This window comes from Homo sapiens, chromosome 22 (genome assembly GCF_000001405.40).
Source record: "Homo sapiens chromosome 22, GRCh38.p14 Primary Assembly".
Classification (NCBI taxonomy): Eukaryota; Metazoa; Chordata; class Mammalia; order Primates; family Hominidae; genus Homo; species Homo sapiens.
Genome location: NC_000022.11, coordinates 18,970,981 through 18,984,051, shown reverse-complemented (window position 1 = coordinate 18,984,051; position 13,071 = coordinate 18,970,981). Strand labels below are relative to the sequence as shown.

Here is a 13,071-nt window from a genome sequence, read left to right as displayed (position 1 = left end):
AATGTATGGAAATCCAAGCGTGGTGGCTCATGCCTGTAATCCCAGCACTTTGGGAGGCTGAGGTGGGTGGATCAGGAGTTTGAGACCAGCCTGGCCAACATGGTGAAACCCCGTCTCTACTAAAAAATACAATAATTAGCCAGTGGGGGCGGGGGGGTGGCACGGGCCTGTAATCCCAGCTACTCAGGAGGCTGAGGCAAGACAATCAGTCGAACCCGGGAGGCAGAGGTTGCAGTGAGCCTAGATTGAGACGGTAACACTGCACTCCAGCCTGGGCGACAGAGCAAGATTCTGTCTCAAAAAATAAAAAAAATTAAATAAATAAAGAATGTATGGAAAACGTTAGCACAAATGGAGAAAGTTAGCTTAACCCTTGAGAGCAGGCAGGCAGGGAAAGGCAGGCCTGGGTGCCCTCCTGGCCCAAGTGGGCTCAAGAGGCCCTGCATACTCTGGTGGGGGGTGCTCTGAGGGGCAGCAGGGGTCCTGGTGGAGAGTGCTGGCAGGAGGACTCCCAGAGCCATGCAGCCTGGATGTGGGATCGGATCCTCTTGCATTGCCTGCTCTACTGGCTCAGAACCCAAATCCCTCAAAGTGAGGAGTCCCACTCACTGGGAAGCAGTTTTTGGTTCAGACTTCCCATGGACCCTGGGAAACTTCCTCAGTTGTCCTGAAAGCTCTGCAGGGTGAGACCACTCCTTCCCTCCCACCCCTGAGAAGGGCCTGCACACAGTAGGTGCTCAGTCCACGCACGAGAGCAGGTGACGCTGGGGCCCCTGGGGCTTAGCAGCCGGAAGCCCAGGAGTTCTCTGCCTGGTGCATGCGTGGCTCACCCTGGGAGCAGGGCTGGGGTGTGCCGGCTGCTCTCCCAGCTGTGGACGCTCACGCCCACCCTAGGTACAGGCTGGCAGGGGCTGCCAGGCTGGGGAGGCTGTGCCTGGGTTTTCCCTGGGGTAATTTCAAGTAAAGGGTGTTCTTTTCCTGTGCGCCAGTAGACGCTTTGGTCTCATTCATGAGGTTTGATTTTTTTTAAACATGCAATCCTACACTTTGGGAGGCCGAGGAAGGTGGATCACTTGAGGCCAGGAGTTCTTGATCAGCCTGGCCAACATGGTGAAACCCCGTCTCTAGTAAAAATACAAAAACACAGCAGGGTGTGGTGGCACACACCTGTAATCCCAGCTACTCCGGGGCTGAGGCAGGAGAATTGCTTGGACCCAGGAGGCAGAGGCTCTAGTGAGCCAAGATCGCGCCACTGCACTCCTTCCCGGATGACAGAGTGAGACCCTGTCTCAAAACAAACAAATACGCAATTCTTTTTTTTTTTTTTTTTGAGTTGGAGTCTCACTGTCACCCAGGCTGGAGTGCAGTGGCGCGATCTCGGTTCACTGCAAGCTCCGCCTCCTGGGTTCATGCCATTCTCCTGCCTCAGCCTCCCTAAGAGCTAGGACTACAGGCGCCCACCACCACGCCCAGCTATTTTTTTTTCTTTTCTCTTTTGTATTTTTAGTAGAGACGGGATTTCACCGTGTTAGCCAGGATGGTCTCGATCTCCTGACCTCATGATGCACCTGCCTCAACCTCCCAAAGTGCTGGGATTACAGGCGTGAGCCACCCCACCCAGACAGTTTGCTTGTTTTTTGAGACAAAGTCTTGCTCTGTCACCCAAGCTGGAGTGCAATGGCACGATCTTGGCTCACTGTAACCTCCCCCTCCCAAGTTCAAGCAATTCTCCTGCCTCAGCCTCCCGAGTAGCTGGGATTACAGGTATCCGGCCACCTCAACCAGCTAATTTTTGTATTTTTAGTAGAGACAGGGTTTCACCATGCTAGCCAGGCTGGCCTCAAACTCCTGACCTCAGTGATCCACCCCCTTCAGCCTCACAAAGTGCTGGGATTACAGTTGTGAGCCACCACACCCAGTCCCAGTCTTTTTCCTATATGTGATTTACATTGGTTTTCACAAAAAATTTATAGCTATTTTTTTTTTAATTTTTAAATTTTTTGTAGAGATGGGATCTCACTATGTTGCCCAGGCTGGTCTTCAGCTCCTGGTCTCATGCAGTCCTCCCACCTCAGCCTCCCAAAGTGCTGGGATTATAGGCCTGAGCCACTGTGCCACTGTGCCTGACCCTGCATTTTCACTTATTGTTACTTTTTCAGCACTCCTCCTTTAATTCCTAGTACCTGCTAAGACTTCTGTTGAAGCTCACCTGCTTAATTCCTCTTTGTGATTACACAATTTTATATTTTGGAAAGCGTCATTGCCAGGGCTAGGCATAGTGGTTCACACCTGTAATCCCAGTATTTTGGGGAGCCAAGGCAGGAAGATCGCCTGAGCTCAGGAGTTCAAGACCAGCTGGGCAACATAGGGAGACTCCATATCTTAAAAAAAAAAAAAAAAAAAAAGGAATGGTGGCACATGCATGTTGTCCCAGCTAGTTGTGAGGCTGAGGTGGGAGGATTGCTTGAGGCCTGGAGGTCAAGGCTGCAGTGAGCCATGATTGTGCTACTGCACTACAGCCTGGATGACACAGCAAGACCCCGTCTCAAAAAAGAAAAGAAAAAAAAAAGAAATAGGAAAAGAGTCATTGCCTGGGGTTCATTTTTTACTTTTTAAAGAGTGCAGAGTAGTTTTTAATGTATTTAAAACATTTCTGAAAATGGAACAAACTGGATAATGTTATTTTTTATTTGTTATTTTAATTAGGGGCATTTCTTCTTTCCTCCGTTAAGCATCAAAACTTGGAGACCAGATGGCAGATTTGCACCTTTACAACCAGAAGCTCAGGGAGAAGTTGAAGGAGGAGAACACAGTGGGTATGTTCAGATTGCTTTTGGGTACCTTGACCCAGCCACATTGTCTACCCTAGATTGGTGCTCATGGTACTTCTTGGTGGCATTTCAATAATAGGTTGAGTTGTATACCATCTCCCTTTACACTACATTATGAAAATGACATTATTAAATAAGAATTTTGATGGAGCTGATAAGCTAGTAGAATTGGCACATGACCCCTTTTATACCCAGCCCTCTTGTCTGGTGTGCTTGAGGTAATAATAACCCCTTTTATACCCAACCCTGCTGTCCAGTGTGCTTCAGGTAGGAGTGTCCTGGCAGATCCATATATTGACTAATTGCTACTGTATGTAGTACATCCTTAGACCACCCATATTCTAGCATGTGCAGCCCAGGCTTGTACTGATGCTCTGCTGAGGTCTGGCATTTAAGAGAAAGACAAACAGCTCCTTCAGGCCAAGGATCTCTGTCAACAGGCTGAAGAGGTGAGGGTGCTGAGCCTCAGTATGTGACCAAGTTTGGCTTCCACATGGTGATGTGCTGTGGCTTCATCCCACAGGTGAGTGCCTGGGTGAGGGTGTTCCCTGATGCTCTAATGCTGGTCACCCACTCATTTTTTTTTTTTTTTTGAGATGGAGCCTTGCTCTGTTGCCCAGGCTGGAGTGCAGTGGCGCGATCTTAGCTCTCCTGGGTTCATGCCATTCTCCTGCCTCAGCCTCCTGAGTAGCTGGGACTACAGGCACCCGCCACCACGCCCAGCTAATTTTTTGTATTTTTAGTAGAGATGGGGTTTCACCGTGTTAGCCAGGACGGTCTCGATCTCCTGACCTCGTGATCCTCCCACCTCAGCCTCCCAAAGTGCTGGGATTACAGGTGTGAGCCACCGCACCTGGCGGTCACCCACTCTTTATATGTGACAGAATGCCAGTCCCCTAGGCACCAGCAAGATTGACTACCTGATTTCTGAAAGCAGAATACAAGCTGTGATACCTGGAATGGGGAGAGCAGAAGCCGAGAGTCACTGAGCTGAGCCAGGCAGGCTCATGGGACATGCTGGGGCAGGCAGATCAGCATTCTAAGCAGAGGAAGCCTCAAGTGCAAAGGTGATGTTGCACAAGGCTCCTGATGAGTATGAAGGACTGGAGACAGTTGGGTGACAGGTAGTGTGCCAAGTCAGGGATTAAGTCCTGATTATCAGCTCCTCTCCTGAGGCCTTTACAAATTATTATTTATTTAGATACAATTGAGATATAATTCACATAAGATCCACCACTTTAAAGGGTAGAATTAATTGGTTTTAGTACATTCACAATGGTGTGCAATCATCACTGCTGTTTAATTCCAGAACATTTTTATTACCCTAAAGCAGAACCCATTAGCAGTCACTCCCCATTTCCCTGTTCCCTGGCCCCTGGCAACCTCTAATGTATCTTCCGTCGCTTTGAATTGACCTATTCTGGATATTTCATATGAGTGGAATCACATTACATGTGACCTTTTGTGTCTGGCTTCTTTCACTCAGGATCATGCTTCAAGGTTCTTCCATGTTGTAGCACGTATTAGAATGTTATTTTTTTATGGCTGAGTAATATTCCACTGTATGGCTAGGCCACATTTTTGTTTATGTATTCCTTTATATGGCTGAATAATACTGGGGCCTCTTGAACCATCACCTTTTAAACCTGTGAAGTTCCAAAGAAGGCTTTGGACAACCCAACTGCCCTGTGCTTCCCTCAAAGAAGCCATTATTGGACCATATTTTGGTTTCGTTAGGGACACAGTGCCCATTATATAAGAGCTAGTCCAGTTTAAAGCTACTGCTTCCCGAAGAGAGCATACTTTCAAATCTGTCTCCTCGTGGAAGCCCGTCCTGATTAGTTGGGTCCCTGCAGACAATGACCAAGCTCTCCCTGGCGCAGATGGAGGGTGAGTTCCCCAGCTGGAGGTCACTCAGGGCAAGATTCTCATGAAACCCAAGCAGATTTACGGTTCCCAGCCAACAGGCAGTCCTCACACTGGGCTCGCTAGAACTGCACAAGGAGTTTACCAGATTTACCAAGACCCCCGAGATCTCAACCACAGCTGGCTCCCCTGGAGTCACACAGCTGTCCGGAGCCAGTGAGCAGTACCATCCTCATAGTCCAGGTGAGGACGGCTGGGTGTAGGTTGTGGTCCTGTTTTTCAGGTCAAGGGGTGCAAGTGGTGGGGTCTACAGGTCTTGGTCCTGTTGCTGAGGTCAAGGGGTACAAGTGATGGGGTCTACAGGACTTGGCTGGCCCAGCAGAGTGGTGTTTCAAAGAAATGAAGTGAAATCTTACCCAGAACCCCTGTGTGTGAAGCAGATGAGAAGCGGGCTGGTCTGTTTGGAGCACAGGTAGCCCCTCAATGTCCCTTCAGACTCCAGGATCAAGGAACCACCTCGGATCAGCTGCAGCCTGGCTAGGAAGGGTGAGGGGCCAGGGAGGACACCTGCCCTGCTTCCTGCGTGTCGTGCCTCGGACAGCACCAGGTTCCGGAGGCTTCCCACTCCTTGGGAGGGCTGAATGAGTCCTGGGGGAGTGTGTGCTGCAGCCACTCGGGGGCAGTGCTGAAGAGTGGGCTCCTCAGATGCCTGGGGCACTAAGGCCCACTGGAGCCACCAGCTAGGTCGGCTGCAGTGATTGCCCCATGCTCTGTACACTGCCACATACCAGGCACCGTTCTAAGTGCTTCATCGGACTCAACTCACCCACTTGCCCCAGCAGGTAACCAGGCAGATGTCACTGATCGGTTTTACAGATGAGGAAACTGATGTGCAGAGTGACACTCCTGAGACCGTGAAGCTTGTAAATGGGGCAGCTGGGTTTTGACCCTCAGTCTGGCTTTAGAGCACAGGCCCTGACCATGACACGGCCCTGCCCCTCTGTCAAGGGGAGGCCTGACCATTGGGACCAGCTGTGCACCCAGGTGGCACCTTCCCTGGGTAGCTTGGAGGATCACAGCCCCTCTGTTCAGGTGGTGGGACTGGGCTAGCCCATGCTGGTCTCCTGCTCCCAACACTAAACCTGGCTGTCTTCCAGAAAGAGGACAGAGCTCAGACACTGAGAGCTTGGGCAGGCAAATGGGAAATGACGGGAGGCTGCACGGTGCACCTCTGTGCCGGGGGTCTGACAGCCAGGCTGTGGGGAGGGGACCTTTCCATCCTGCTCTTGAGGTGCACACAGCACCAGAGGGTGAGCCCAGGGGCCGAGTCACCACAGCACCCATGTGCAGGGAGAGTCTCGATGGTGAGGGCCGCTGACCAGGACGGTCCTCCTCAAAAGAGTTTTACAAAATAACCCTTTGCATAAAATAAGCATTGTATTTTTCTCTGTTGAGGTGTAATTGACATAAATTGCACCCATTTAAAACGTATAATTTGGTACCTTTTGACATGTTTGTACCTGTGAACCTCTGACCACAGTTGAGGTGGTTACCCCCAAAAGGTTCCCCGTGCCCTTCCCTGCCCCGGGCAACCATTCTTCTATATTGTCACTGTAGATTAGTTTACATCTTGTGGAATTTAATCTAAACAGAAACATACAGTATGTACTCCTTTTTGTCTGACTTCTTTCACTCAGCATAATCATTCTGATATTTATCCATGTCTAAAATCCTTTGATATTCATCCATGATACACATCCACGTTGCATGTGTCAAAAGTCAATTCCACTGTATTGATATCACATAGCCTGTTTATCCATTCACATGTGGACAGACTTCTGGGTCATTTCCAGTTTTTGCTTATACGAATAAAGCTGCTATAAACCTTTGTATACAAATCTTTGTCTGGACAAATGCTTCCACTTATCTTGGGTAAATACCTAGGAGGGGAATGACTGTCATATGGTAGGTTCATATTTAACTCTTTAAGAAACTACCAAACTATTTTCCAAAGTGGTTGCATCATGTTATATTCCCACCAACAGCGTATGAGAGTTCCAGTTCCTCCACATCCTTCCTAACACTTGATATTTTCTGTTTTAAATTACAGCCATCCTAGTGGGTGTGAAATATTATCTCACTGAGGTTCTATTTTGCATTTCCATAATGACTAAAGATGTGGAGCATCTATTCAGGTGCCTGTTTGCTGACAAAATGTCTTCTTTGGTGAACCATCTGTTCAATTATTTTGCCCAATTTGTGAATAGGTTTTTTTCTTATTATTGAGTTTTGAGAGTTATTATTTGTATATTTAGGATATAAGTCTTTTACCAGATATATGATTTGCAAATAGTTTCTCCTGATTTGTTGTTTGTGTATTCTCTTGAAAGTGTCCTTCAGAGGCCAGGCACGGTGGCTCACGCTTGTAATCCCAGCACTCTGGGAGGTTGAGGTGGGTGGATCACTTGGGGTCAAGAGTTCAAGACCAGCCTGGCCAACATGGTGAAACCCCATCTCTACTAAAAATACAAAAAAATTAGCTTGGTGGTGGGCACCTGTAATCCCAGCTACTCAGGAGGCTGAGGCAGGAGAATCGCTTGAACCCAGGAGGCAGGGAGGTTGCAGGGGCCAGCTGTGGCCACAGGCTGGGGACAGAGGCCAGGTCTGAGGCTGGTCCTCAGTGAGGAGTAAAGGGGATGGACCGGGAGACAGGGTGCAGGTTTGACACTGATTTTGCTTTTGGGGATGGGTCGAGGGAAGAGGCTGAGACTCTGGGCTTGGACATTGGGTACGGAGGATGTGACACTAGCAGACAGGCTGGATCTGGAGGCCTAAGGTGTGCAGTGTGGGGAGCTGTGTGTGCAGGAGAGATGCAGAGCACTAGGGAGCCTGAACCCCTGCTCCAGTGCACAGGCCTGGCACACGGCAGGGAGGAGGCAGTCACCATTCCCTGACCCGCCCGGGCCTGGGAGGCAGGGCAGAGCTGGTGACGGGCCAGCGTGGGGCCTTGGAATGACATCTGGCATGTGGCGGTGGAGGGGGGACATGTAACTGGGGACTGTGGACTCCCAGCTGGAATCCACCTCCACCTTCCACATCCACGCACTGCCTTTTGGTCTTTACTGAGCACCTGCTGTGTGCAGGGGCTGCTCTAGCCCCTGGGACCACCAAGGGCCAGCCCTCCGCAACCCCAGCCCTGCATTCAGCCCCCACCCACTTCCTCCAGAGCCCCACACCCCACATACTGAGGACTCTAGGCGTTTTCCCACTCTTGAAGGCACTGAGCTGGGAACACCACCTCTGGCCACCAGCTGTGGACTGCAGAGAGGCCTACGGTGACCAGGAAGGGTGGAGCTGCCCAAGGTCATACAGCAAGCCGGCACTGCACAAGCTGATCCCATGGCTGCCCAGCCTTGGGGAATGGGGGACTTCTGGCATGTCCCCGAGCTGGCCTCATCTGGGCCCTGGTAGAAGGCAAATAAAGGCAACATCTCAACAAGGTTGTGATAGCTGGGACAAATTGAGGACACAGTGCCGGGGATCCAGGCAAGCAAGGGACAATCCAGGAAGGCTCCCAGGAGGAGGTGAGGGGCCTGAAGCCCACCCTGGCCTGAGCCCCTCCTCGGTACTCTAGCCTGCCTAGCCCTACCCGCTTCCTCGACGGGCCCCTCACCCAGCCTCAGCCTTGGCCTGACATTTCCCGTGACATTTGCTACAAAGAAATTGAGTCATAAATCCAAAGGTTAAATTTGCACATCGCCTCAAACTGCTGGGGGAAGCAGTGGTCCCTCCACCCACTGGGCGCCCCGTGGGTGCGGGGTTTGTGTGGCAGGGTCTACCCATCCTGGGGCACTTGCTGGAGGCCCACAGGTCTCCTCTGGTCCTCCGAGGCACTTCAACCACTGTTTCCCAAAACAGGTTCCTGGGCACACCAGGCCCTGAGGTACATCGCATAGGGGTGCCTCTCAGAGAAGGTGCTGCCCACCCCTCTCCAAAACAGAGCCCAAGATGCCCTGCGGGAAAGGAGCACCATCAGCACCATTTATTCCAGCAGGTCCCACATTTGACCACAAAGCCCTTATGTGATACCCCCAACATTCCAAAGAATTTCAACTCCATGGACCGTGACCCGTGACAGCCAGCTAAGAATGCCAGGGTGCCGACTGGAGAGCCAAGAGGCACCCGGGGGCCCAGGGCAGGCTGCTCTGAGTGAGGCTGGGTCAGCACCTGACACTTCACTCCCAGATCAGCCCGGCTCCATGTGCCAGGGCCCTGAATGGGGCTTACCGCCTGCCAGGCCTGTGTAGAACTACATGGGGACCCTGGCCTGTGCCCACTCAGCCTCTCCTAAGGCCACTCTCGAGGTGTGCCAACAGCCCTGCCTTTCTTCTCCACCTCCTGGTCTGGCTGCCGTGGGTTGCCTCCATTGGACAGGACACAGCTGCAGAACAGTGTCAGCATTACCCCATGCCCCGCTGCCCTGCTGCCCCGCAGAAGAGGCCCCGCAGGCCATAGCGGGCAAGACCAGAGGCTGTGTGAAAGAGGGAGAGGAGAGGCGGCCCCAAGGCACCCACTGCACAAATGGATGCCCAGACTCTACTCACTCACCATCACCCACCCGGCCAGCCCACGGTTGTCAAAGGCCTCAGCTGGCTAGGAGGGGCGGGATCTGGCCCTGCTGCCGAGTCCCCTGAAATCAGCTCAAGCATCAGGGGAGAGGCACGTGACCAGCCCCTAGACCTGGTGGGTGCCAGCTGAGGACATGGTGGGGTGGGTGTGCAGAGCTGCATCTCCCGGTGCCCAGCTCCACGGCTGCAGGCAGTGCAGGAGGCCGGTGCAGGTTTGGATAAATAAATGATGGTGCATTCTCAGGAAGGGATTCCACACACACCAGAAAACCCACGATGCACAAGAATAGTTCCCGATGTGCAAAGTGTTTAAAATACAGCGATAAAAGAAGAAACGGCAGCACAGAACAACTGGTGTGGGGAACCCAGCTGGGCCCCAGGGACAGTGCAGGGAGATTTGCAGGGTGGGGTAGCATGCCCGCCACTCCGATCGGGCTTCCCCGGGGCCACTCTGTTACCTCCTATCCTTTAAAGCATTTAATCCTAGAGATGCACGATGCCAAGGATTGCACCCCTTGATTTGCCTGGCTCAGAAGAGAATCTGACAGGCTAGGAACGAACAAGCAAATGAATGAACAAATGAGAAAGTGAACGGACAGTTGGGGCAAATGCAGCATCTGGGATCTGGCTTCGAGGAGGGTGCCTGTGACCTTGGCCTGGGTGCAGCCAGGCTGCAGAGCAGGGACACTGAGGGGTGCAGAGAGGGCCCCGAGAGGGCATCTGCACAGCTGCAGAGGCAGCAGGCAGCCAGGCCGGCTCCTGCAGACCCCAAAGCCCAGGCCCTGGGTGGCTGCAGAGGGTCAGGCAGGCCAGCCTGGGGATCAGAGGTCAGGCTTGCCAGAATGGGGGCGGGACGGCATGAACCTCATTGATCAGACAGTAGCCAAGCGTCGGGAGCCCTCACTAACCCTGTGCCAGGGCCGGGCAGGGCGCCTGGCTCACACATGCATTTGTTCATTTCCAGGTCATCCTGAAACTCCCCGTATGCTTCCTGTTCTTGACCCCTTTCCCAGGTGCACAGACCAAGGCTCCCGGTGAGAGGTTCCGGGCCACAGGCCCAGGACAGCAGGAGGGCTCCTCTGCCTCCCACCCGTCCTGTCCTCACCAGCTGGACCCTCCTGGTGTTGCACCGGCTGCACAGGGCCGTCCGTGCCACAAAGCATGAATTCAAGGCTGGGGCAGGGACGAGGAGAGGGCAGTGCTACAAGGCTGCACTGTCCTTGGGCAGAGGGAGGCGGAGGGCACGGTCCCACATGCCCTGGCCCTCACAGCCTGCCTGTCACTCACAGCAACAGCAAACAAACCCCAGCCCCTCCACAGGCTGTGGGCCAGTCCCCAGCCTCCCAGGACAACAGGACCTTCCCCCACCTTCCAGGGCCCCAGCCCCTGTGGGGGTGTCCTCCATAGACCCTCCACAAGCCCTCTGGCTTTCAGAGACCTGCTGGGCCAGGCCCTCCCTCAACCTCTCCCCTGCTTCTCACTCCATGCAAACCTACGTTTCTGCCAGTCCCAGTGGAAGGACCCTGGCACAGGGAAACTGAGGCTCAGGGGTTCCACAGACCCCCAGGTGAGGAACAGGGGGAGGGCAGGGAGGGAGTGAAGGTACTATGGGAGGGTCTCCCAAGCTGGGCAGCATCCCTGCCCTGTCCCCTCTCCACTCACCTGTGGCCTGAGTTGCCTGACTAGGGGCTTTTATTGTCCCTTCTGCAAATGGATGGGGTGAGGGGCCAGCTGGCCATGCAAAGGTCCCAGGAGGACTCTGCTGAGTTGGGGTGTGGGGAGGTGTTCTGGGCATTCTGAGGCAGAAGCACCAGAGTCGGAACTCCACAGGGAAAGCCGGGCCAATTCCGCCCAGCCTCAGCCTGGAAGTGCCCCGATAATCCCTGACCACTGGCCCATGGTGCAGGTGAGGAAGACTGAGGCAGAGAGGTGACCTGTCACACCCAAGGTCACACTGCCAGCAGGTGGCTGAGCCAGGACCCAAATCCAGGTCACGGTTCTGCCACGGCAGGCCCTGCACGTGCCCCTCTGCCAGGTGGGGTCTAGGTGCTGATGGCCACCCATTCCCACCCCCGGCATGGGAGCTCACTTCCTCCTCACCTCAGTAGAGAAGAACAGGGAACAGTACCCCCTTTATAGATGGGAAGACTGAGGCTTAGAAAAAGAGACTGGCCAGCCCCACTGCTTCAGCTGCCCCTCTGCTAGTATGTTTCACCCTCACACAACCTACAAGGATAACCTGCTGGTCCCCACTCTATAGATGAGCCTCTGGTGGTGGCCAGGGGAGCAGGAGGTGTGGCCTGCCAATTGAAGCCCCAGCCCAGGGCCCTTGCCACAGTGCTAGTGGGCCACCCTTGCCCATCATGCAGCATGGCATCCATCTGCTCAGCACCCTACACAACACCGGAGGTAGGGGAGCCCACCACGGAACCCCTCACCAAGAAGGTCCTCACCATGGAGAAACTGAGGTACTGGAGGCGGGGCCTCTGCAGTCACGCTGGGTCACGTGCTCCAGTCAGCCAAGCTGCAGCGGCCACCAAGGGTGCCCAGGGTCTGGCCTGTTGGTCACAGTGTTGACCTCATGGCCTGAAATGGGTCTTCCCTGACCAGACAGGTTCCAGCCCACCATCATCTATCACTGCCTCAGCCCTGGTGGGTGCGGAGTGGCTGGGAGACCCTGCCCCTCACACCCTGGGCTGGGGGCATTCAATGAGCCCCCAACACACATTCCAGGGCCTCTGCTCCAGATTAGGCCACAGCCTGTCTAGGCACACAAGGGGCACCCACACCCTGGAGGCAAAGAGACATATGCCTATGTGCTCGCAGGCACACATGATCACGCGCACAGACACACGTGCAGATGCATACCAAGTTACACACACGCACACACGCCCGAGGCGGGGACCCCCAGGACACGGAGGCAGGCAGGCAGAGGTGGGGCCCAGGATGTCTTGCCCCTGTCTGTGGGCCTGGCCTCCCCACTCAACAGACGAGCATGTGGGTGCGGGAGTGGGTATTGTGAAAGGGGCCCCAGCATGTGCCACCCGTGGAGACCACAGCAGGCATGTCGCGTACATGCATGTGTGGCCGTGGGCGTGCAAGCGGGGGCGAGGACACAGATATGCACCCTCAGAGTCCGTGTGTGCACCCAGTGTTCGTGCATGTGTACACTGGGGTGGCGCTGGCACGCATGTGCACCAGAGGTGTGCAAGTGTGCAGTCCGTGTAGACATGTGCACGTGCAAGGAAACGTGTGTGCAGCCTGCGACACCATGGACATCAGCAGGGCAGCCTGGGTGGGCACCTGGGGAGCACCCTCCAGGCAGGGCATGCCCAACTCACATGGAGCCCACCCTCCCTTGCCCCCCACTGCGGGACCTCACACCCAGTGGGGCGGGGGAGTCTCACGAAGGCTGCCAGGGAGGGGATGCTGATTGCCCCACCACCCCTGATTCCCCCAGCCAAGCCTCTCAATGTCCCTCGGGCTGCGGATGTCTGGGCATTGCTGCCTCCTCTCACCGCCCGCCCTGGAGGCAGCGTTGGGACAACCTTGTCCCCCACGCCCTCTACTGCCGCCAACGCCCCCATTGATCCCCCTGAGGCCTGACCTCAGAAAAACGGGAGGTTCTGAGCCCAGTCCGCGAGGCGGGGGCGGAGGCGGCCCGATACCTCCACCTACTCTCGGTACCCGCGTTTCTGCAAAAAAACCCGCTCATTAACCCCTTCGTGGCCGCGGCGCCGAGGCCG

The 13,071-nt window shown here is 54.4% G+C and overlaps 1 long non-coding RNA gene across 5 annotated transcripts in view; it reads right to left on the bottom strand.

The window, feature by feature from the left end:
* The window catches only part of DGCR5 (DiGeorge syndrome critical region gene 5), a 60,775-nt gene that overhangs the window by 47,191 nt on the left and 513 nt on the right, over positions 1-13,071 (bottom strand). The window lies entirely within an intron of this gene.